The sequence below is a fragment of the Homo sapiens genome, chromosome 1 (genome assembly GCF_000001405.40).
Source record: "Homo sapiens chromosome 1, GRCh38.p14 Primary Assembly".
Classification (NCBI taxonomy): Eukaryota; Metazoa; Chordata; class Mammalia; order Primates; family Hominidae; genus Homo; species Homo sapiens.
Genome location: NC_000001.11, coordinates 165,373,890 through 165,400,675, shown reverse-complemented (window position 1 = coordinate 165,400,675; position 26,786 = coordinate 165,373,890). Strand labels below are relative to the sequence as shown.

Here is a 26,786-nt window from a genome sequence, read left to right as displayed (position 1 = left end):
AGAATAATGAGCAGAAAAAGACTTATTCTAATTGGAGGCAATTGAGTATAAGGCCACAGGAGAGATGTTCTCTGTCCTGGGAGTTGGTGGAAGATCTCCGGTTCTGGGAGTTGGTGGGAGGCGGTAACAAAGGAATAGATTTTTCTGTTATATCATGAGCTAGCAATGATAGTCAAAAGACTAGAGTACACCAAATTTATTTTCTAATCTTATCTAACCCTGTGCAGCCTGTTCTTAAAAGGGAAAGAGAGGAAACCTCTCCCACCTTCTAGTCTAGGATGTCCAGAGTCACCTAGTTTTTGAATCCCAACCATTGGCTGGACAATGAGCTCCTTGAAGGTATAGACTGTGTCTGACACCACTGACAGCCCATATAGCTCACTGTCTTCAACTCACGTACCTGCCATCTGCAGGAATAGGGCTTAACAGATACACAAATCGATGTATGCTGTGAATTACATGGTACCCCCTAGGGTTGTAAATGTAAATGTGCAGCCTGAACAACTGCACACGGCAGTCCTGCTTTACCTTTTCCATACCACCAGAACCTGACCCAGGGCCTGGTGGACAAAGCACACAGTAATCTGTGTTGTTGAACTAGGTTCCACACAACTAGAAAAAATCCCCTAAAGGACAATGTGGATGACATTTGTCTCATTCCCTGTCAATAACTTGTCCCCTCAAAACCCCCATGATTAACTCTCCAGTCCAAATACATCCCTCAGTGAACATACAATGGTAGAAAAACTAACATCGCTTTATTACTAAGAAAAATCTAGGGATCTCTTAGCCTTGGACATTAAGCAATGGAATGAAAATCTTAATTCTGCTGTTCTTTCCCTTAACTTGTGTATCTGCATTTACTGTGAACTATGATGAAAATGGTTGGAGGTGGGTGTTAAAATTTAATTGTGGCCTCCTTGATCTCTTTCCTCTGCCAGCATAATTCACTGGACACATTCAACTGCCTTACAGGTAACAAGGGCCTTCCAGGAAAATTCACTTCCCCGCCACCGCTGGTGGTCACTTGTGTCCCATTCCTTTTTTTTTTTTTTTTTTAAGATGGCCTCTCACTGTCGCCCAAGCTGGAGTGCAGGGGTGCAATCCTGGCTCACTGCAACCTCCACCTCTTGGGTCTGAGCCATTCTCCTGCCACAGCCTCCCAAGTAGCTGGGACTACAGGTGTGTGCCACCATGCCCAGCTAATTGTTTTGTTTTTAGTAGAGACGGGGTTTCGCCATGTTGGCCAGGCTGGTCTCAAACTCCTGACCTCAAGTCCTCTGCCCGCCTTGGCCTCCCTAAGTGCTGAGATTACAGGCATAAGCCACCGCACCCAGCCCCATTCCAATCTTTGATCCCTTTTCCAGCCAACCCTAGCTCTTGCCTGCAGCAAAACACAGAGTGGTCAGGGCCCAGCAGGGTGCTGCACATCCATCAGGTGCGATGTCTCCCGAACTGCTGCTAGGGAGCCTCACTAAGCCTGAACAGAAGCTTGGCAGGAGCTGGGCTGTCTTCATTGCATGGGCTGGTCCCATGAGATTCAGAGCCTCAAAGGCCACCTCCTTCCTGAGCTGGTCCTCCTTATACCCTAGGAAGAGCAACTGAGTGGATGTTCAGCCCCACCTGGATTGAGGTTCACCTTCCTGAAGGCCCGGCTCCACAGAAGCCATGACAAGCTTCTAGGGCCCCACATCGCTGAAGAGCAAAAGCTTTCCTCATTCCACATGCCTCACCTACAAGCGGAATCAGCTGTGTGAGGGGACAGCGCAGTCAAGGCTGACGAATGTTTTTGGAGTCCCACACCCTGTACTACGTAGCTGACTTAAAACAGAGGGATGAAGCCTTATTTTCCACAAATTCTCGTAGAGCCTGAGCTCATGGCTCTGGGGTGAAAAGCTTGTCACTCTGGACTTAGGCAGCCAGAGCCTGGCTCCTGGCTCTGCCAGCAGTAGTCTTGGATTTAGGGAAAGTTACTCACCCTCTCTGCCTTTTATTTCCTTCTCTTATTTGTAAAGGTCAGATAATAATACACATCTTATAAGGATAAAAAGATGAAAGATGCATAAAGCCTAGTGTAAGAGAATGTACATAAGACATACTTGGGTTCTGAGTCCTGACTTTGTCATTCATGATGGACTTAAACCTCGCTGAGCCTCAATCACCGAATCTGTAAAATGGGATTCTTGTGAGGATTACATAAGCTAATGCTCTTAGTGCTGTGACTGGCACGGAAGATGGGCAAAAATATTAATTTATTTTCTGCTGAAGATTGAGATTGCAATTAAAACACAATCTTGGAGTTTCGAGGAGATTGCCAGAACATTCTATTCCACAGCCTGCCTTGGATCATCCAACATACTGTAAAAGGGACAAACAATTTCTAGTTTCTAGTTTTGGTTTAACGCTTTTCAGCAGGCAAATGGCAATGAACCAACCCATTTTGCTAACAAACAGTGCTGATAACAGGAAAGCCTGGGTGAGCTGCAGGGACCAAGCGAGTGCAGGGCTCTGATGACTGTGGAGCCTGCCTATGAGTCAGATTGGAGGAAATGCAAGCAGGAAGGGGCCATGGTTACAAACACAGGCTCGGAGTCAGCCCAGCCGGCCTCAATTAAAATCCCATCTGATCACTGAATAACCCTGGGAAAGTGATTTAACCTTTTAGACCTTAGTTCTCTACCTTGTAAACTGTGAAAAATAATAGTACCTATCCACAGGGGCCTGTTGAGAGAAGCAGATGAGATGATCTACGAACCATACACAGGGCTATGTCCAGCACGTAGTGAGCTCTCAGTTAATTTTAGTACACCATTATTATTATTATTATTCATCCAAATATCTTCTACAGGATTCCTGCTCTGGAAAGAAAGTCCAGACTCCATGGAAAAGCCCCGCCCTACACCTAACTCCTTCTCCACACCCTACCTAACCTGAGAGCTCTCCGCACCTTAGCCCCCATCCTCCACGCTGACAACTCACCCGTGCAGTGTGGGCCCACCCTTCCTCACATGGTTGGTGTGAAAGTTAAGGGAGATAATTTAATGACAGTACTTTGTACACTATTAAAGACTGTGAAAAAGATGTCATTTGCACAGTAAGTATTTCTTGGCCTTGGCCATTTTTTTCATATCCTTTAGTGAAATCAACCAAATATTTGTTTATAATTTTATACTGCTTTCTTGTTCAAAAACTTTCAATGCCTTCCTTTAGTCTATTAAGCAGTCTCAGGCCAGGCATGATGGCTCACACCTGTAATCCCGGCACTTTGGGAGGCAGAGGCGGGCGGACCACCTGAGGTCAGGAGTTCAAGACCAACCTGGCCAACATGGTGAAACCCCGTCTCTTCTAAAAATACAAAAATTAGCTGGGCGTGGTGGCAGGCACCTGTAATCCCAGCTATTTGGGAGGCTGAGGCAGGAGAATCGCTTGAGGCAGAGGTTGCAGTTAGCTGAGATCACGCCATTGCACTACAGCCTGGGTGACAAGAGTAAAACTTGGTCTAAAAAAAAAAAAAAAAAAAGTCTCACCAGGGAACAAGCGTGTCCCTCCCCACCCCCAGGGACATTTGGCAATATCTGAAGACACTTTTGATGGTCATGACAAGGGGAGTTCTGCTAGATGGAGGCTGGGGATGCTGCTAAGCATCTATAATGCACAGGATGGCCCCACAGCAAAGAATTATCTGGCCCAAAATGTCACAAGTACTGAGATGGTGAAACTCTGCTACAAAGTGTCACTAATGGAATAAAATACCAAAGAGTATCTTCCTGTCGTTTTGGAATTTTGGCTAAAGCCCCAAGGTGAGGCCATGAGGTCCCCTCATGTTCTAAGGACTTATGAAGGTAGATGAGCTGGTTCTGTGACTTATTCCTCTTCTTGAGCCAATGTTCATAGAAGATTGGAATTTAAGGAGAGAAGTCCGTAGAATAAGGAGTATTTGGGGAGTAGAGTCATGGCTTTACCCTACCCCTTCAGGGTATACAGCGAGAGGGAGGGATCCCCATTCCCGTGGCAAATGAAGGGGGCAGAAAAGAGCCACTTATTGAGTGGGCGTGGGTACCTACACAATGGGGAGGCTGGCACCTGGCATCCTGGCTGATGCTTGCCTAGCAGCAGAAACCCACTGCCCCACCTTGCCACAGAGGGTGGGGAGGGAGAGCTGGGAGGGGCCTGAGCTACCGTGAGCATCGAGATGGATGTCTCTTCTTGATAGAGACCTCTGAGGACAGGGGCCCATTGTGAGGGTGTAAGTGGGGAAGGAAAGGGAGAGCACTGTATCCCACCGCTCCCCTCCCTGTACTTCGTTTGTCCAGGATATGGCATTTTCTGTGGGCCAAGTGAATTCCCTGGAAAAAAGTTGTGTTTAGAATATCCCGAAGGTACCAAACCAACAGAGTGGCCTCTCAAGGCAAGGGGACTCCCGCAGTAGGAGGCTGTGGGTTGAACTGCTGTGGGCAGGAACTAAGGGGTCAAGCAGAGCATTCGCTGCCCATACCTATTAGCTCGCAGCACAGAGTTCCCCATGGGGCCTCCTGAAAGCTCACCATGTGCACTAAGAAGACCCACCTGTTGATACTTGCCACATGGAAGGCATCAACAGCACCACGTACTTAAGAGCACTTCTCTCTCTTCTCATCCTTTCTCCAGGGCCCAATTCCCTGGTAGAGAGTGAAGGAAGACCCAAAAAAGGAAGGAGGGGGAAGAAGGTAGAGGCAGAGAGAAAGAATTGACCACTAAGTTTGGTTAAGACCAGACTTTATAACTACTGAAATGAGATATTCTGGGCTTTGCCTGAAGTACTGTTAATAGGCAAGGAGTGGGAACAGCAGAGAGTTGGTTTGAAGACTGGCTGGAAAAGCATAAAGCTTTTCTGTTTGCATTTCATTGACTGTAGAGGCTTTGCAATACCAGCTGCACTTGTAAAAACCCAGGCCCCAGGCATGCACCAGCTTGACTTTGCCTTCTTTGGTTACCAGTCTCTCAGACTTAGCAACATCATTTTCACTTCTGCCTCTGGAATAGCCTACATGGCTTGTCTGAGTCCATCTGCCCAAAGCATCAGCTGTTATGATTTAGTTCTGCCTCTGAGATAAGCCCCAGCTTTTTATCAGGGCAATTAAGGCTGTCCATGGCTAGGCCCCAAAGAAAAAGTTCCCAGCTCTCTCCTTCTGTACATCACACACACCTCCAGCTGATTTAGCTATTTCTCAAATGACCTGCTGTCTACGTCTTTGCTCAGACATTCCTCTCTGCCTGGCATGACTCCTTCACCAGCTGTAGCTACCTGAGTCCTACTCATCCTTTAAGACCAGTTCAAAGGCCACATCTCTGTGAAGCTCCTCCTGATCTCTCCATCTTTGTAACATTATCATTATTCTGTGTCTCCACTGGGAACCCATTCAGCACTGCACGTTGCATTATTGACTCGTTGTATACGCTATCAACTTTACTTGTAAACTCCTTGAGAGCAGGAGATCATGTCTGATTCAACTGCATATCCACAACATCTTTGAATGGAGTGCCCAGCCCAAAGTTGGCATTCAACACATGTTAGTGCAATTGGCACCTCTGGTTTCATTCCCAGTACACGGCAGCCCACTGAAAGTGGTGTGTTCCCATAGCAAGCCCAGGAGCCTCCCCACTGGAGCCCTGAGCCAGAAAACCTGTCCTGGGTAGGATGTTAAGATAAGGTATGAGGTCTCCATTGACTGCCAAGTTACCCTTCATGGGCACAGTGGGCAATGGCCCAAGAACTTGAGGCATGTTCTTTGCGTTCAGGGAACTTACAATGGAAAAAAGCAGAAAGCACAAGGATCAAGGTATCCTAAGCAACAATACACCTACAGCACTTTGAAGTTCACAAAGCACACACGAAGATCTGTGGTGGTAATCTGGCCTTGGAGAAGAAGGCAGGGGAGCTGTTGAGGACTCCATGTTAAAGATGAGAAACTGAGACTCTAGAGATTCAATGACTTGTCTTGGGACACACATGGTGGTAGCATGAGGAACTCAACTACTCTCACGGCAGATGCAGAGCCAGTGCCACTCAACTCCAAGACCTCTGGGCCTATATCCTCAGTGATTTTTTTTTTTTTGAGATGGAGTCTTACTGTGTAGCCCAGGCTGGAGTGCAGTGGCACGATCTCAGCTCACTGCTACCTCCACCTCCTGGGTTCAAGCAATTTTCCTGCCTCAGTCTCCTAAGTAGCTGGGATTACAGGTGTGTGCCACCATGCCCGCTAATTTTTGTATTTTCAGTAAAGATGGGGTTTCACTGGGCAGGGGAGCTGTTGAGGTCTCCATGTTAAAGATGAGAAACTGAGACTCTAGAGATTCAATGGCTTGTCTTGGGACACACACGGTGGTAGCCTGGGGAACTCAGCTACTCTCATGGCAGATGCAGAGCCAGTGCCACTCAACTTCAAGACCTTTGGGCCTATATCCTTGTGAACTTTTTTTTTTTTTTTTTTTTGAGATGGAGTCTCAGCCGAGGTTGGAGTGCAATGGTGCAATCTCGGCTCACTGCTACCTCCGTCTCCTGGGTTCAAGCAATTCTCCTGCCTCAGCCTCCCGAGTAGCTGGGATTACAGGTGTGTGCCACCATGCCCGGCCCTCAGTGAACTTTTTATATTCTGTGCCCATGAAATATTTGTAGGTTGAGGGATTGGTATATATGAAGAACAAACATAAAATAATAAGGGATGGTGTTTTTTAATAAATGTGGAACTTGGATAAACAAACCAACATTTAGCTAACATCTCCTTCAGGAGTTTTACTACAGTGATATTTTCCTTGGATAGTTCCCTTTTACATTTGTCTTCAGAGCTGGTTTAAGGCCACCTAAGATACATGATCTCATGATTCTATAGTAAAGACTTATTAAATAACAACAACTATAACATATCTCCTGGTCCAGGTTCATGTAACATGCCCATCAATCCGGAACCCAGCATACACCAGGGCCCAGGCTGGCACATTCATATTCTCAGCTTTATTTCCTACATTGCTCAAGAGATTTGGAGCTGAATGGCATTTGATCATTTTTAAAAACCAAATCTACCCTCTATGAATGAAAATTTGCCACCACTTCTGTAACTCAAAAAAACTGACTCAGGCTCTGGAAGAACTGGGTCTTGGAGCCAAACGATCTCAAGGCTTCAGGCAATAAATCAACAATGCCTTTCCACTAGGAGAAAGCTTGGGGCGGCAGCTACACGATTAATTAAGGAGTTACTGGGAGGGGCTAAGTGCGGAGTGGAATGGAAGGCACAAACCCCTTTTCTCCGAAGGCAGGCAGGGAAGGCAGATTTGAATAAGAGGTTTGTTAGTTTATGAAGAGAACTGGAGACCCAAACTCTTTCCCAGCCAGGAAGAGCAGCTTTCACCCTCCTCTACAGAAAACTCCATGGAAATGTCTCCCGTGACAGTGCTGGCGCACACAACCATCTCTGACCACAGACCACAGACCACAGACCACAGAGGAACTGGCCCCGCCCAGCCTCCCCAGGGGAGGCATCTTGGGTTGTGCAGCTGCGAGGGACTCTTGCAACCTGCCCCTCCCGGCTGCACACTTTGTGCGGGAAGATTGTTAGGCATGGGCGCCCTCTGCTGTCCGCTCAGGGGCATCACATCCCGGAGAAAGCCGCTTCCAGGAGGACTGAGAGGGAAGGGACTTTAAAAATTGAAAACAAAAAGAGTAGTTTGAGAAATGAACTTCAAATAGACTCAGAGGAAAGGGTGCCCTTAGCCAGATACTCACTCAATGGAGTGTTTACTTCAGACTCGGGAAATGGGCTTAGAAGAGGAATCTCAAGGGGGAATGGTTGGAGCATCCCATAGAGAATGCATGAAAAGGAGTCAGGTTCAGGCTGGGAAAGAACAACCTCCTCCTCACCTGTCAGCCACCCCACTAGCTAAAGGGGACACAGGTATGTAACTGCCAATTCACCGGCATCACATACAAAGCCGAAGGCTAATGCCACATCAGGACTGGTTCTTCAAAGCGGGTGACCACTCTGTACAACAATATTGTTCCCACAGCAACATGACAGTCAGACCTCTTTCCCACAGGTAGAATTTGAGATATTTGAGAATGGCTAAATGCGAGCTTTTAATGGGGAGATGTTTTAGGGAAATTTTCTGTTGTTCTTTTCCTGGTTGTCATGCAGAGTACAAAAGTGCCAGATCAGCCCTTCCCAAATTTGCAGAGCCAGATGTGGGTGTTCACAGCAAGCTGAAGTTGCAATGCCCTTAGGAGGAGCAATGCTGATGGCAGGTGGCCCAGTGGAAGGAGCAGGGGACAGGGAGTTAGAGGGCAGGTGAGTTGTCTGACCTAGGCATGTCTCTAAACCTCTCAGGCCTTCAGCTTTCTCTTCCGTAAAATCAAAGATTCTAACCAGATAATCTCTAAAGTTCCTTCTACCTCATCAAATCAATAATGTCTTTTAGAGATAGATTGACATTCTACTTCATTACCTTACATGAAAGCAGGAGCTCACCCTAAGCTCTGGGCACTGGTTTCAGAGAGAACGCTGAAAAAGTCCTATTCCTTAGAAAGCCCAGGATCTGAAGGATAAAACACACAGATTAAAAAATTATTAAATAATTATGAGTTGAACACCTGCTATGGGTTTAGTGTGCTGTTAAAGGATAGATTTATAAGCCTGGGCAAGATAGCAATACCCCATCTCTACAAAAAATACAAAAAACAAAATTAGCCAGGTATGGTGGTGCACACCTGTATTCTCAGCTACTCGGGAGGTTGAGGTGAGAGGATCTCTTGAGCCCAGGAGGTCAAGGCTGCAGTGAGCCGTGATTGCTCCATTGCACTCCATTCTGGGTGACAGAGTGAGACCCTGTTTCAAAAAATATATATATATAGATTTATAAAGATGGTTTCTAATCCCAGGTGAGCAGAATTGAGTTTATCTATCTCAGTTGATGGCAAAACAGACCATCCAATTTACCTCTTTTGTTTATTCTTCTCCTGTCATCTGCTATCTCAGATCCAAATCTTCCCCAAAGATTCCAAGTTCCTATTTTTTTTCTAGTGGGTCCTTGAAAATCCACCTTCCAAAGGTTTATTTCTATACATGACATCCATGGAAATTATATGGTATTATTTTGTTGTTTTAAAACTGTATACGAATGACTTTTTTGGTATCAGTTTCATTTTATCCATTCTTCTTTGTTTCTCTCATTACTGTGCTTTGCCATCCATCAGCGATGCTCTGTGTAACTCTGGCCAGTTCCTTTTAATTGCTGCACAGTGTTTCAGTAAACACGTAGATGGCTGACAGCTCTTTACCATGACAGGCATTCTTGCATACGTCTCCTTGCTTACCTGTATGGGAGTGTCTCTGGGGTGTATACCCAGGAGTAGGAATTGCCTAATTGCAGAGTATCCACATACCCAGTTTCACTGTACTTTCCTACTGTTTTCCAAACATTTGCACCTATATATATATATAGTATATACTCCCACCAGTGCATAAGGGTCTCATTTCCACACATCCTTCTTAGCATTTGTTATAGTTCAAATTTCTAATTTTGTCAGTGTGCTTCATACAAAGTCTTTCTCTGATTTGTCTTTCTCTTATTACTAGAAAGGTTGGGATCTTCTCTTTCCTTATTAGCCATTCAGATTTCTTATGTGTGTTCTATTGCTTATCTTAAAAGAATTACAATTTAGGCCTGGCCTAGAAGGGGCAAGTGCTTACTATATATTGCAATGGACTGAATGTTTATGTCCCTCCTCCCCATTTCAAATGTTGAAATCTTAACCCCTAAGGCAATGGGTGAGGTGGGGCTTTTGATAGGTGATCATGGGGGCAGAGAATGGGATTAGTGCCCTTATAAAAGAGACTCAAGAGAGATCCCTTGGTCCTTCCACCACATGAGGACACAATCAGAAGTTGGCCATCTATGAGCCAGGAAGTGGGCCCTTATCAGAAACCAGACTTGCTAGTCCTTTGATCTTGGACTTCCCAGTCTCCAGAACTATGAGAAATTTCTGCTGTTTTATAACAGAAATGTTACAAGTAGTTTCTCCCAATCTAATACCATCTGTTCACTCCAGCAGAATCTTTAATTTTGGTGTGGTCAAATCCATCCGTTTCTCACTTTATGGTTTGCAATTTTGGGGTCTTGTTGGAGGAATCTCCTTCGTCCAAAGGTCCCAGAATCATTTTCTCATTAACCTAACAACAGACTCAAGGAGCCAGGTGGGGATCAAAGTATTTGCTTTGTAAGAGACCGATCTTGAATGGAGAACATGACAGGCTTTTCTACCCTCTTCCCTTCCTGAATTACAGATGTCCAAGTCCACAGTGCAGGGCTGACCTGACTTACCTATGCTTTCCCAGGTGGAGAAGCTGAAGAATGGGGACCTTCTGTGGTGAGAGTGCCCCTGTTCAGGGATTCATCCCATGGGTCCTGGAAGCATGTGGCTCACTGAACTTCAACACATGCAGGTCCAGGCAACAGGTCAAGATTTTACCCCTCCACCTTGCCCAAGGCAGAAACATGGCTGAACAAATGGCTGCTTTTCTTAATCTCACCAATCTGACTAGTTACCTCTCTCCTATGAAGAGGAGCAAGTGACAGTGCGGACAGGGAAGCCAAAGGATTTCATCAAGGACTTTTATGTCCAGTAGAAAAGCAGGAGCCCTTCATCTTTGGGCTAAAATGAGTATGTGAGATTAGGAAGAGTAGAAAGTTCCTTTCTCTAGCTAATCTTAGTATCTTTATATTACAATTGAAGAGGAGTCTCAGAGAGGCCGAGTCACTTGCCCATGGTCCCACAACAAGTAGTAAAGCTGAAAGTCAAAATTAATCTCTAAAGTGAGACAGACTCTAACTTTTAACCACAAACTCTTAATTTCTCCTTTGTCACCAAAAACCTAAGTATAGACTGTGATTCCCCTATACACTATTTCCTCCAAATCATAGATGCTCAGGATGTTGCAACTTCAGCGGCCCCTTCTTACTTCTGCCTGATCTCACTGTAGAGGTCCTAGAGACCCAGAGGGCAAAGGGACTTGTCCAAAGCTGCCAGCAAAGTAGAAGCAGAAAAAATACATGTTTTCCAAACATCATGAAGAGTTCTGCCTCACTGCTGGATGCTTTTAGCCTTGAGCTTCTTTTTTGAAGAGGACTAATGGAAATAATACAGGTCCAATTCAATCTGGTTTAAGAAAAAAGTCTCACAAAACTGAAAGTCTTAGGACAGGACCAGCTGCAGGTACAGAGGGCCCAGGCACTCGGATAATGCCTTCAGGACTCTTGCTATCTCTGGGGTCTGTATTTCTCTCTGTTAGAGTCATTCTTGGTAAGCTTGACAAAAAGTGACTTCCAGGAACTCTAAGTTGGCATTCTTGTGGGCCAGTGACCCTAGCCAAAGGAGGAGAGATCTTCTCTTTGCCCACGTTCCAGCAGAAATCCCGGAGCAGATATTCACAAGCTCTACTTTGTTGGAATTAGGTCCCAGATACACCTGTGAGAATGGTGGGAGGGATAGCAACATCTGAATCACATGGGCTGAACCTGGGAAGGAGTGGTTTCCAAAAATGAAAACTGAGGTGTGCTCACCAGAATTGGGAATGGATCCAGAAAGGCAAAAACCTAGATGTCAACACAACTGACAGATTCAACATGCAGCCATGTCTGTGTATTTCTCTATTACTACCATTGCTCTACTACCAGGCAACCTACATTGCCTGCACATGGTACTCCAGACATTGGGCCAAGCATTTCATATGTATTGCCTTATTTTATCCTCAGTGCACTTCTATGAAGTGGCTACTATCATGATCCCCATTTTAATGGAGAGGATATCAACGCTTAGGGAGGTTTTATTACTAATTGTGTCACATAGCTAGTCATGGGCAGAATCCAAACTCGAATCCATGAATGCCTTAATTTAAATCCCATACTTTTAGCCACTGTATTCTATTGCAAACAAAACAGTTAATTCTAGGAAAAGAGGACAGTCTTTATTCTGCAGATAATATAAGTCCTTCTCCTCCTGCCCTCCTTCCCCATCGGCAACCAAATTGTAGAACAGAAAGCACAAATCCATACCATCATTGCTTCTGATTTCTTCTTTGAGATTCTGGATTTCCACTGTATCCACAGACACTTCCTTTCTTGGATAAAGCTGACCACCCACACAAGAGAACCGATGCTATAAGGTGACAGCTGCTTTGGGGTTGTCCATAGCCAGAGATACACATTATTTGTTTTTCAGTTGAAAAAGGATATTCTCCCCCAAATTGCCTGAATCCAAACTGGCTAAACCACTTTTGTTCAAACTTTCCAAGCAATTTCATCCTTGGGGTGGAAACAGAGCATGAAATGATTTGGAGCAAGAGGACAATTTTTGGGCAATTTTAAGTGAGTGAAAACAGGAGGTTATAATGGAAGTTGTCTTTCAACCCTTAACTCCAGCATTTTGTAACCAAGAATTCTGTCTCTCAGGTTTGGCTGGTGGGAACGTAATGCTGAGCAGTTGTCTGGAGCTGCTTCTAGATATTCAATAATTAGAAACAGCAACGCTGACTCAGAAGCCTATCAGCTGGCTTTCAGAGTGCCACTTCACAGAAGAAAAAAGGAAAAAAAAGTTACAAACTTCTTAACAATTGAACAAAAATCAATAAATATGTCATATACATTTTAATAGTGATTTGTACTTCTCCTTTAAAATTGCATTGTCAAATGTCTAATATAAATAAGTCCTATATGAGGAATGAATTGGAAGAAAAGTTGAAAATTTTTCAGTAATGACGGGAGGGCAAAATCTCTTATTTGGGGCCATGTGGTCAATGGAAGGAGACAGTGTGGTTTAGTAGTAATTCAGGTGACACAACTAGGAAGCTAATTTGTCTGCAAAAATGTCTTTTGAAATTTGGTCCAGGATGGGATCAGTCATGTTCCAATTTCCTTGAAGAGATTTAAAAGCTGGAAAACACCCAGCTATTGTCCATGACTTAGACACAGGCTTCCTGGAGACAGAGAAACATTTTTTGGAGTGTCCTTTTCTACTCAGTGATTTTTCAGGGCCTTTGTCTTTCCATCTTACAATGGGTGTGATAACACAGAACATATGGAGAGGACACACACACACACACACACACACAGAGAAAGAAATAGAGAGAGAGAGACTGTAATCGTTCAGGCACTAACACTGCTGTAGCAAATGGTAGAAGAAAGAACAAAAGGCATACGTGGAAGTAGAAAATTTTCCTACAGCATGGAACAGAGCTGGACTTAAGAGTAGAAAAATTTTCCACTCACCTATGAGAGCACCCATCGCAGCAGCCTCAGACATCATAGCCACTGTTTTCTTTCTTGGGTCTGTCTGAGGCAGGTGGAGCCAGGAGGCAAGTGGGATGCGGACTCCTGCACCTGGATTTGCCACTCCACTCCATTCCTGGGATTATTCTGGAAGTGGTCATGGCCAGGGCCTGGTACCCTGTCTGGTACTTTATTCTGAAAATGTCTGTTGAGGGATGAAAGATACCTCTCAGACCAGGGTTAGGGATCTGGCCTGTGGCTGTCCCAAATCTTCAATACAGACTCTGAACGCAAAGAAGCCTTTCTCCATCTCCAAAAAGAACTAAACGGGGTAACACTGGGGCTGGAAACAGAAAGACTGTCTACACACATATTGTACTCTGGTGCCCAGGGAGGTGTCACCTCCACCTCCTCCACATGGCTGGCAAACAGTGCTTTGTTCACATCTCTTCTCTGCACCCAAGGTGCTCACCAAAGCACACACCCACTAACAGAAGAAGCCGGAGAACCAGCTGCTTACCTTGGACCTGGCCCTGATGCTCAGCATTAGGTGGGTGGGCCTTTTGAGAAGTTTAAGAAACTCAATACTCATCAACCTATACAGAGCAAACATTTATTCTATGTGTAATTCTATGCTGAGATTCAGGGCAACGCATAAAGTATATTCTGTTTATGCAAAAAATACCCATATAGGTGATTTGTAAGGTTTATATAACTGCACAGAAAGAAGCTAGGAAGGATGCATACTGCTAACGGTGGTTACCTCTGGGAGCAGCATGGAATTAGAGGTAGTGCTGAAGTGTACTTTCATTTTTTACTTCATCTTTTCTATTTCTTTTTTATAATGAGCATGTATTTATATATTACTTCCAAAATTCTTTATAACATTTATCATTTCTCGTCATGAAATACATATAAATGTATATAGATGTGTTTATTTTCTGTCTCTTTCATGAGGACAAGGACTATTTGGGGGGTGTCAAGGACTAAGGGATGTTTATTTTGTTAACCATTGTATTCCTGGATCCCCAAACAGTGTTTGGCACAGAGTAACTGTTCAATAAATATTTGTTGATCAAATGAATTACTTACAAAATTAAAAACTGGAAAAAATATATGGGTTCCAATCTGAGGGCTTGGTCTCTGGAACACAGCCTGGCTCATGCTAAATACTTACCACGTGAATTTAAATGAAATACTTTGGTGCATAAGCCTTCATGCCTGCTTAAAGATTTCACAACCCAGGCATGTCCAGGGGAGAATCGGTTCCGTGTCTCTTCCACCTTCTGGTGGCTGCCGGCAATCCTCGGTGTTTCTTAGTTTGGGGCTGCATCATTCCAAACTCTGTCTCTGCCTTCACGTTGCCTTCTCTGTGTGTGTCTGCCTACTCTCCCTTGTCCCCTCTTACAACGATACATGTGATGGCACTCAGGACCCCCTAGATAATCCAGGATAATCCCCTCTCAAGATGCTTACCTCAACAATTTTTGCCATGTTAGGTAATATTCAAAGGTTCTGGGGATTAGGAAATGAATATATCTTTGGGGAGGGGACACTTTTTTTTCTGCCTAGCACAAATGGAGACGATTTTGATATGTGGAGAAGGGAAGAAGGGGGTTCCGGGTGGAAAGGTCAGAATATACTGGTCTCTGGAGGCAGGGAATCATGAGTCATGGTCCAGGGCTGGTGAATGGTTTCAACAGAAACCTAGGTGTTTACGAGAGGAGTGGATAATTCTACTTCTTGGTGTATATTCCAAAGAACTGAAAGCAGGAACTCAGATATTTTGAATACTAATGTTTATTGCACCATTATTGACTATGATACAAAGGTAAAAACAGCCCACATGTCCATTAACAAATAAATGGATAAACAAAACAGGGTTTATCCATACAATGGAATATTGTTCAGCTATCAAAAGGAGTGAAGTTCTGATACATGCCACAACATGGGTGAACCTTGAAAGTCATACTGAGTGAATGAAGCCAGTCACAGAGGGACAAATGTATGATCCCACATATATGAAATATCTAGAATAGGAAAATTCACAGAGGCAGAAAGTAGTTTAGAGGTTACCAGGGCTCGGGGAAGTAGGGAATGGGAGTTACTGCTTAATGATTACAGAGTTTCTGTTTGGGGTGATGAAAAAGTTTTGGAAATGGATAGTGATGACAGATGCACAACATTGTAAATTAATACCACAGAACTGTCCATGTAAAAATGGTTATGATGGCAAATTTGTATATATTTGTACCATAATAAAAAAGAAAGACAAAAGAGAAAAAAAGGGAGGGGTGGGTTCTATAGCAGAATGGGAGGTAGGCATGAGTGCCAAGCTGAAGAAACAGAAGTGGATAATGGGGTCCCCTTCTTAGAGCCCTGCTCAGGGTCCACAGAGCCATGCCCTGGCTGCTGGGAGCATCACCTGCTGATGTCTCCGAGCTGTGTTCCTCACTAGGCACTGCCTTCGGCTGCAGGGAGCTGTGTTACCTGGGAATATGCCCCCTTTGTGGGGTGGGGTAGACTGTGACCAATGAATGGCTGATGTCTGGAAACTGGGCTCAATTTGGGACTACTCTGCAGGGCCATCCCAAATCCAGAACTCCCGATAGAACCAGCAGAGGCCTCAGGTATCACCACCTGTGGGCCAGCTTCTTTCTGGGGCCTATCCTGTCTTCCTTACTTCCTTACAGGTCTGTCTCCCGAGAGCATTCCCCAGGAAACTTTCTGCATGCAATTCTCCTGCTCGAACTCTATTTCCAGAAAACCTGAACTATGATGGAGACAACTGGGAATTTGTTTTTTTGTTTGTTTTGTTTTTTAATTTAGGAGTGGCAGAATGAGAGCTGTGGCTTAGGGAGATCATCTTGGCAGAACTGCATATTATAAGTTGGAGGATGAGAGAACAGAGGTGGGAAGATTATCTGGGATGCCATCACATCAGAGTCAAGCAAGAGGAAGAAAGGACCTGAAGTAGGATGATGGCAGAGGGAGGAATGGACAAAAAAATTAGAGCTAGAATTGGCAGAGGAGGGTAGTTAGCTGGGTAGAGGCTGTGAGGTAGCTAATTCACAGCACGATTCCATGAGATTCCTAGGAATTGGAATGCACTTGCCAACCAAGGCAGCCACACACCTTGCCCTCTGCTGTGGGGCCTGGCACTAGGTCCAGGCAAGTACCCAGCAGCCTGGCTGCAGTATACCAGCTGAGAGGCCACCCTGAGTTCTGCCAAGAGGCTGTGGGGAAGCTGGAGGTCTTCCTGCTGATTCCCTGGCATTGCTGCAGTTTCTTCTTCAACCAAGCCCACAGCTAATGCTGCCAGTGTCAGGATGCCAGAATTTAAAGGGCAGAGAAGTCCTGGGGCGGGGGTCTATCAAGAGGAAAATCTGAAGAAGCTTTGCAGTAAGCCAGCTAGTTCTGTGTAGGCCAGGAAAGCATTTCCTGGTGGATGGGATTTGAGAGGGAGCAGTGTCCAAGGACCTGCTTTGGGATGAAACTGCTCTGGTCTAGAAAGGCTGTCTTCCGTGCAAGTTTAGATGCTGTCTCAGGGAAGCCTTTTGCTTACTAATCTTCCCAGCCCCTCGACACTTTGTCTTACTTTCCTCACAATGGCATAGCTTGGGAAGTGGATTTGAAGCCCCATGGAATCCCACAGTCCCTCTGGAATTTCTGACTTTGAGTGGCCACTGGAGTTCTGGCACAGGCCTCAGACAAGTTTTCCCAGAGGTCTGGGTGGACTCCAGGGATAGCTAAAACACCTTTGGCAGAAACAGATGGGTCGTGAGGGTGGATCCCAGGCACTGAAACAACAGAAAGGGCATCCTAGAATGGTCTAGCGCCGTGACGCCCAAATCTGCCTGTGCTTCAGTGTCCTTTTAAAAGTTGTTTAAAACTACAGAGGCCTGTGTGCTGCCCCTGATCTGCTGAATCAGAATCTCTGAGGCTGGGTGGTGATTTGTCTTTTTAAAGCTCCCCAGGTGATGCTAATGTGCAGGCAGGGTTGGAATCCAAAATGCTTATTCCACAGCTGGGAGGTTGGCCCAGAAAGGTGAGTCACCAAGGCTGGCCGAGCCAGGCCTGGAACCCAAGTCTTCCAGGACCCAGTCCAACCTCACATTCCCCCTGCTGACTGTCAGGCTTCCCTGGACACGGACTGCACTGCCCAGCCCCAGGCTCTCTCACGCCCTCCCGACCTCATGCAGATGCGCATGCTCTGCCCTTCCACGTGTTCATAGTGTGCCTGCTTTCTAACTTGCTTCTTAGGGTCAAAATAAGTGTTTGCTTATTTCTCCAATTCCTTCATTGAATCATAAGGTCAGCGAGGCTGTAGACCACAACAAATCAAACTCCAATAAGCCATAGTTGCAGAACAAGGGCTGTGGGCCCCACAGGATCCAGAGAAACATAAAAGTTGAATCTTCTTCAGAGTAGAAGACAACATAGTATAGTGGGAAGGGAATTGACTTTGGAATCCGTTAAATCAGCTTTGGAATCAGTTTTTGAATCTGAGCTTCAGTTTCCTCATCTGTGCAATGAAACTCACAGGGTTGCAGTGGTCATCACATGAGTTAATGTATGGGAAAAGAACCTGATTTATTATAGGGAGGCTACAGTCAGGATAGGCTGAGCTTCCACTATAACAAACAACCCCAAAATCCCAGTGCATAAAACAAAGCTCACTTCAGGTTGAAGGGGGAGTTCGAAGGGAGGACTCGTTGGTGGTAGACGCTCAGAGGCCCAAACTGCAGAATCTCCACTGTCACCTCAATATCAGGCTTCAGGTTCACAGTGACAGGAAAAGAGAGCATGGAGACTCGTGCTGGCTCTAAAATATTCTCCACCAGAATTGACAAACGTCCTTCCACTCACATTTCACTGGCCAAAGCAAGTCACAAGGATACATCTTACATTGAGGGATATGTGCTCAGAAGGAGAGGAGAGTCAGAAATCTTCGTGAACACTAGTCATGCCCACATTTTATGTAAGGACTTATTACTGTCCTGGTGGCACAGAGATATTACCACACCAAGACTAGATCCTCATCTTTCACAGCTCGCGGCTACCAATGGACAGTTAGCGGTTGTATGAATTCCTCTCCCTTCTGAGTCATTTGCCTTTTTTATAGTCAAATGCTGAAAAGAAACATTTCAGCACACATAAATGAGCAAAGAGAATGAAATTCCATGGTCAAACCTTCCAGTTCGAGGACTGTCCTTTCTTTCAGGGCTCATAACTTCTGTCATATTTCTAAATGGCTTATGCTTGTCAACAATAGTACTTCCTCTGTAAACAATGGAATTTGAAGTATGACATACAAAAGATATATCACTCTTCAATACAAGCTTTTGACTTGGGTGCAGAAGTGGGGTGTGTTGTCAGTGTACATCCTGGGTCCCTGAGCAGTCATTTGCAAAGAGCTCTTCTCTCAGATGACTTCCTCTGGAAACACCTCCATCATTCATACTGGAAGAGCCCTGGCTTTTGGGGGTGCCCCAGCTCTGTAGAAACCACTCAGGCACTAAGTCCACGGAAACTCTGACCCATTAAAATAAAGTCAAAGAACTCAGTGGGAAGAGGGGAGACAGATTCAGCTATTAAACCTCTCCCAGTTTACATAAAATTCTTCCTTATGAATCAAAAGTACTCCTGGAAGTTCTTTTAGTCACTGATTATAAATGCATATCATATTCAGTGCCTACTATAAGTCAGGTTTTGTTCTAGGCTTTGGGATTCATCAATGAGTAAAATAATTTTCTGCTCTCATAGAGTTTAGAATCTGGGGCAGGAATAGAAGCGAAAACAAACTCATAAGTAAGTAATTCTACTTTAGGCAGACTACATGATAAAGAAAATGATTCAAGGTAAGGAGAGAGAGGATGCATAGACTGGGGGAGGGAGATTGCTATTTTAGAGAGTAGCCAGGAAAGACTTTTCTGAGGAGGAGTCAGCCAATCAGAGATGTGAATGAAGAGAAGGGACTAGTAATGCTAAGATATAGCAGATACACTCAGAGATGTGAGGGTGTGTGTGTGTGTATGTGTATGTGTGTGTGTGTGTGTGTATGTGTGTGTGTGTAGTAATGCCCACAGGCAGGACAGGTAATACCAGTAATAGGTCCATCATATTTTATGCAGGTTCGTTGGTACATACTTGTGGTGCTAAGTTCAGCATGCCATATAGACAGGGGTAACAGCAAGTGTAAATGCCCTGTGGCAGAAAGTAGCTTGTAGAGCAGAAAGTATCAGTGACCACTGACTGCTGCAAGAGGAAGACAGGGAGGGGAGGAAGGGCCACATTAAGATTGGCCTTGTTGGCCATAATAAGGATCAAATTCTTATGCACCACCACATAGCCCTTTCCAAAGCCCACATTGATCTTCATCCCCCACAGCACCATCCTGCTGTACAAAAGGGCCCAGTTGTGATAATCACTACAACTGGGGAGATGTTGGTCATCACAGGCTCTGGGGGTCTGGGCAGGATAGAACTGAGCTCCGTGTGACCTTCACTACCCCCCTAAGCAATTTAGCATCACTCTGTAGCTGGCCTAAGAAGAGGGCAGATCCTCCTTCCAACTCTACTCGCTTCTTCCCACCTGACTCCACCACCCACCCTTACAATTTTAAGTGTTTTTAAATCCACCTACTTCTGGGAAATTTCTGGGGCTCTTATTGAGTCCTGCTAAGAGCCTGAGGGAACTGAGAGAAAGACAGGAGGCTCTCCCTTTTAGGAATGGATTGTGGGTCACTGAGGTTCAGAAAGTGGGGAGCTCTGGGCGGCCTCCAGCAAAAGACCTGATGGTCAACCCTGAGGTGGAACGAGTTTAGAAAACAAACTATTTTTGCCCCATTCATTCATGTCCACCAGCTGCTCCCTGAGCTCCATCGACCTGGTAATTGTTTTTCTTGGCATTCCAGGGTAGTAGGTCACGTTAGATTCTTTTCTTTCAAATATTCTACTGACATCAAAGTGGAAGGGATGTAAGGTAAAAAGAAATAAATCGGGGAGGATTCTGCATGTTTCACAACTGCTTTTATGTTCAGGATGTGCAGGAATGCCGGGGTGGGCGCAGATTCTGTTACCTCCCCCAGTTCAAGGAAGAGTGGTGGGTGGGAGTGTGTGTGATGTCCATATGCAGAAATGATCTGGACTGACAGTAGGGCAGTAGGCTGCACAAAAGCAAGAGTCAAGGGCAAGATTTTTCAAATTGAGATAGTGTAGCGGATAACACAGGGCTTAGATTGAGCAATAAAACATGAAACTGGTGGGAGGCAGCTGGAGGTGATAGCAGTAAGGTGGAGAGACAGGAACGAGGCTCCATTGCTTGGTGTGTGCTCTTGGGAAGGGCATGTTCCCTCCCAGAGTCCAGATTTTCTCACCTATAAGGTAGATTCTGTATGTACGACTTTTCCACATCTTAGATCTTCCTGAACAGTTCTGATTTGGGTGGTTAGCCAAAGAATCAAAAGCAATTTCATTTTCATAACATAGCCTTGGTCCCTGGACTTCAGGAGTTTGCAGTCTGATGGAGGATTTAGCATGAGCATGTTACAGAGATTGCAGAAGTCTCCAGCAGTGCAAAGTGAAGGAGCACCGGAAGTCTTCAGTAGAGAAGAGTCTTAAAGAGAGCTTCCCTGGAGTAAGCTGTGGAGAATCTGGGAAGACTCAACTAAGACACTTTTAGAAGCAGGGGGCAATAAAGCCGGTGGACAGAAGGCTGGGGAAGAGCCAGGTTATAACAATTATAGATTAGAGAGGGTATTGTTTCATGTCTGTTTTACTGAATGAGCCCATTATTGCGTTGGGTACACAAGGCTCAAAACAAGTTTAATTTTTTAAAAAACTTCTTCCTGACTCCCTCTTTTCAGTGAAATTTATACACTCTTTCTATAGTGCAGTGTACCTCAAGAAATTTCAAAATGGTTATACACTTTCACCCGAAAGTTCTACTTTTAGAAATGTGTTCTAAGAAAATAATCAAGGCTATCAATTGCTGTGTGCCAGGCACCAAAACAATTTATATATACAATTTTGTTCTCACAATAACTCAGTAAGGAAGATATTATTATCGCCTTATCTGTGTGTGAGAAACATGAGATCTAGAAAAATTTAGTAAATGTGGTTAAAGTTACATCCAGCAAGTGGTATAGACAGGATTTGAATCCAGGTCTGAATGAGTCAAAAGCCTATTTTCAATCTCCACAGTTTTCTTCCACTTTAGGGACATGCACAATGATGTATGTACAAGAATTGATTAAACCAGATATAGTTCATTCATGTTGAATATTGTGAAGACATGAAAAATGATGCTGTAGAGCACTTCAAAGCCATGGAAAATTATTTATAATACGTTACGTAGAAATGTGATGACATATTGTGTATGACATGAGCCCAATTTTATAAAAAGATATGATAATGCTTAGGTACTAATCAAATAAAATGTTGATATTTTATGCACTATATTGGGATTGTGAATTTTTTATTTTCTTATCAATGTATTTTGTAGTTTCAAATTTTTCTTTAAAAAATAACATTGCTTTTTTAATCAGAAAAAATAAATGACACAAAACAGTTTGCTTTTAATCATAGAAATTAATGCCTGGTCAAAAATTTTAGAAATTACCTAAAAGTAGAAGTAAGGAAGCAGGCCGGGCTTGGTGGCTCACACCTGTAATCCCAGCACTTTGGGAGGCCAAGGCTGGCAGATCACCCGACGTCAGGAATTCGAGACCAGCCGGGTACGACATGGCGAAATCCCGTCTCTACTAAAAGTACAAAAATTAGCCAGGCATGATGGTGCACGCCTGTAATCCCTGCTACTCGCGAGGCTGTGACAGGAGAATCACTTGAAACCAGGAAGTGGAGGTTGCAGTGAGCGGAGACCAGGCCACTGTCCTCCAGCCTGAGTGATAGAGCCAGACTCCATCTCAAAAAAAAAGGAAGCTTGACAAATGGGATCTAATTAAACTAAAGAGCTTCTGCACAGCAAAAGAAACTCCCACCAGAGTGAACAGGCAACTTACAGAATGGGAGAAAATTTTTGCAATCTACTCATCTGACAAAGGGCTAATATCCAGAATCTACAATGAACTCCAATAAATTTACAAGAAAAAAACAAACAACCCCATCAAAAAGTGGGCAAAGGATATGAACAGACACTTCTCAAAAGAAGACATTTATGCAGCCAAAAGACACATGAAAAAATGCTCATCATCACTGGCCATCAGAGAAATGCAAATCAAAACCACAATGAGATACCATCTCACACCAGTTAGAATGGCGATCATTAAAAAGTCAGGAAACAACAGGTGCTGGAGAGGATGTGGAGAAATAGGAACACTTTTACACTGTTGGTGGGACTGTAAACTAGTTCAACCATTGTGGAAGTCAGTGTGGTGATTCCTCAAGGATCTAGAACTAGAAATACCATTTGACCTAGCAATCCCATTACTTCATATATACCCAAAGGATTATAAATCATGCTGCTATAAAGACACATGCACACGTATGTTTATTGCAGCACTATTCACAATAGCAAAGACTTGGAACCAACCCAAATGTCCAACAACGATAGACTGGATTAAGAAAATGTGGCACATATACACCATGGAATACTATGCAGCCATAAAAAATGATGAGTTCATGTCCTTTGTAGGGACATGGATGAAGCTGGAAACCATCATTCTCAGCAAACTATCCCAAGGACAGAAAACCAAACACCACATGTTCTCACTCATAGGTGGGAATTGAACAATGAGAACACATGGACATAGGAAGGGGAACATCACACACCAGGGCCTGTTGTGGGGTGGGGGGAGGGAGGAGGGATAGCATTTGGAGATATAGCTAATGTTAAATGACCAGTTGCTGGGTGCAGCACACCAACATGGCACATGTATACATATGTAACTAACCTGCACGTTGTGCACATGTACCCTAAAACTGAAAGTATAATAAAAAAAAAGGAAGGAAGAAAACAGTTATCCTATAGCTATTTTGGTACATTTCATTTCAGTCTTTTATCTGTGCACGATCTGCTTATTAGTGTATTTTACATAGCTGTGCTCAGATTTAGATGTGAACTATGTTGTTTTAGTGACAAACTGGAGCCAGAAAATTTCCTTGTTTCTGTTCTCCTCACTTGACTGTAAAGTCGTTAAGGGCAGGATAATTTCTTTTGTTCGTTTTTGTATTTGCAGCCCATAGTTCAGTGCCTGGAACCTTGTAGATGCTCAATAAATACTTGCGGAATGACGAAGTGGTGGGGTAGGGGAGGGAGAGGCTATAAAGTTCTGCATAATCTGACCAGAAGTTTTGCACTGGAAGATTTTGGATAGAAGGCCGGTGAGACAGGGCAGGCAAGATGGGGGGCCTTCGGGGAGGGCCTTGATGCTCATAGTTAGAAACTGAGATCTGACATATGAGGCCGCTGGGACTCACTCTGGTCTTCCAAGTGGGGATGTTACATGATCAAAACCGTGGAACGGAAAGGCGATTCTGGCAGCTGTGCTGTGGATGGCTGGGTCGGGGAGCCGCAGAGGGGAGGGTGCTGAAGGCAGGGAGGTAGGGAGGCAGGGAGGTGGAGAGGCTGTCCTCGCTCGTTCCGGCCAACGGACGCTTGCACTAATCCCTGCCTGGAGAGGCTGGGCTTGGACCGGGGCTGCGAGTGCGCACAGCGAGAGAAAAGGGAAACTCGCAGCTCTGCTTCCAGGACCAGGCGGGGGCCAAGGGAGGCCAAGGAGGGAGCAGAGTCAAAGACAATGGGGGGCGGGGCTAAGAGCTTCTGAGGCCGCGGGTGCCAGCAGCCGGGAGAAACTGAAGTTAGACAGTCCCCTCCCCAATCCCCCATTTCTTTTGGCTTTTTGGTTGCCTGGGTGTACAGAGGAACAAATTTGTGGTGTGGAAGGATTCCAGGCCAGTCATCTATCATGCACAGTGAATACTCACTAGGCGCTCATCACACGCTCGGCGTCCTCACCCTCTCCAAGAGAGCTCTGGCGGCGGTCCAGGGGCTGCCCAAGGTGACTTGCCAGATTCTCCCTTGAACTTCGCTCTCTTCCTTGCTCTAGTCCCTGTTTTCTTTTAATTCAGAAAAAGCAACAACAAACCCTTCCCAGCCCCCTCCCTTCTCGGGCTGTTCCCTCCCTGCGGTTTGGCGGAGAAAGGGCCTCGGCAGTCCCTGAGAAGATTAGCTAACGCCGCGTGCTCGGGGAGAGCAGGAGCCGGCGGGGCTGGGCGCGGGGCGCCCCCGAGAGCTCTGCCCGGCTGAGCCCGCCCTCTGCGGGGGGCCCCTCCGCGCGTCCCCGGCCCAGGCAGCCTGCGGTTCGGGCAGAGCAGCGAGTTAGCCAGGCTCAGGGTCTTGGGCCGTGAAAGGTGAGAGACAGGCCCCACCCCACTTACTGGTCTGTTGTCCAACTCAAATGCGGAAACACTCATTTATTCAGTAGTTGTATTTAATGTTATTAATTGTTAGTATGCTCAAGCACGGCCTTTAAGGTAAATATAAGGAATCTAACTGGCGATCTTCTTCTTGTAATTCTGTGCTGCCTCACCCTGACAATGGTCTTGTATGCTCATGTCGTAAAATGTTTTATGATGGTGTTTTCCACCAATTATTTGTGCAGTATTATGAGCTTACAAAAAGAAAACGTTTTATGTTTTAAGAAGCAATGACATACACAACACGATTTTTAAAAAGCCTCCAAAATTAGAAATCCTTGCCTAAAATAGACTTATAAAATTTAGCTCATTATAGACATACAGGACAGATGAAAAATGAGGATATAATACCAAGTAATTGGGGATATAAGGCAAGGGGCTACAGGCAGAGCCACGTTTCAAGGACACCACGACCACTTTCTTTAAGGGCTTCCCTCGATGCCACTTTGGAATGATCGGAAAACACCAGGTTAGGTCTTACTTAGAGGAATTGTCCTGTGCTCCCACCACAACTGTGTCTACCTGGAAGCACCCATGGCACAGACCTGAAATTTCTGCTTTCCTTGGCCAAGGTTGCTGGCACTAAGCAATCTTGCACCCAGTGCATTGGTCAGCACCACTGGGGCCACAAAAAGTACCAGAGACCATTGATTACTGAAAGGCCCGGTGGGCGTGGCCAGTAATTAACAGTGGAGGTTGGGCGGCAGTGTGGAAGTCAGAGTGGTTTCATTTTATTTATTTACTTATTTTTGTGTGAAAGCAAGTTTATTAGGAAAGTAAAGGAATAAAGAATGTCTACCCCATAGACAGAGCAGCCCAGAATGGTTTTAGGTGGATGGGTCAAGAGGGTCTTTTACCTCAATGGTTGGCTTTCCTTGCTTCTTTCCCCAAAACACACAGGATGGCTGCAGGGTCCCATCAATTTCGTTAAGTACTATAAAGGTGAGATTTTTGCTAGTGCAATTGACTCGAAAGGAAACAAGCTCTAATTGTTGTCAAGCTTATCTTGAGATCGATTTGGGTGACTTCATTTTGGAAGGTGATTAACTTGTGAGAATTTTTTAAATATGTTTTTAATTCTCCTCCCAGAGGGCTAGTGGAAGTTACCCATGACGACTCTAAAAGCAGTTTAGGAAGTCTGTCAGATGATTTCAGCCCAGGGAATCAGCCTTAAAAGACCGAACATGAAACCTGCTGTCAGTAGTTCAAGTGACTGGGAAATCCACTGGGATTGAACTCCCAGTAGCTGGGTTTTCTCACCTGCAAAACCAAGACTACCGTGTCTGGCCTTCGTGCATCTCTCAGGGTAAAGAAAAATAGCAACTTATAAAATTTTCCACAGGGAGCTTAGTGAAGGGACCATGCCAAGTCTGAGGTCTGTGTGCTTGGGCCCTGCTGGTGACTGACAGCCAGAAAGGGGAGAGATGAGGCCACTCCTCCCTCCCAGGTGGACAAGTCTGGCGACAGACAGGCACAAAGCTGAATCGGGTGAATCTTTAGAGTAAGTCAATTTGCTAAATGTAAATATCACCTTTTAAATAACACAAACTTGGAATAAGCCATTAAAATATTTTTAAACTTTAAAACGCACAGGGAATCAGCTCCTGTCAAAACCAAAATCTATATGTTTCTTTTTATTAAAGAAAGATGTTCTGCTTTCTAATGGTAATACAAGGGTATTAAAAATATATGTTCACAGAAAAAGTAAATGGAAGGGAAAAATTTACTCTAAGTTCTACTCCTGAAAATTTAACCATTGTTCACTTTGTGTGAATTACATAATATGCACAAGTATTAGAATGATGCAAAACCTCATGAACATGATCTTTAAACAAAGGCTGAATACAAGACTTCATTTAGCTTTGCCTTTTGGAGGTTGGAATAATTTGGGTGTCCCTGTGGAGGCAGCAGCCCTCCGGGGAACAAGGTCCATTCTCTCTGGTCTCTGCTAGGCCACCCGCACAGGAAAAGCAGGTACACCAAGTTCCGTTTCTTAAGGGCGCCGGCACTTGAAAAGGGAGCACAAATGTCTGGAAAATGTCAGTTCCCACATTT

The 26,786-nt window shown here is 44.8% G+C and overlaps 2 annotated features.

Annotated features, from left to right (window-relative positions):
• Positions 7,241-7,450: an enhancer, noted in NCBI's record as "active region_2015". NCBI's record gives its function as "activates an Ori minimal core promoter by ATAC-STARR-seq in GM12878 lymphoblastoid cells {active_cell/tissue: GM12878}" and the evidence as "EXISTENCE:reporter gene assay evidence [ECO:0000049][PMID:35858748]".
• Positions 7,561-7,610: a silencer, noted in NCBI's record as "silent region_1499". NCBI's record gives its function as "represses an Ori minimal core promoter by ATAC-STARR-seq in GM12878 lymphoblastoid cells {active_cell/tissue: GM12878}" and the evidence as "EXISTENCE:reporter gene assay evidence [ECO:0000049][PMID:35858748]".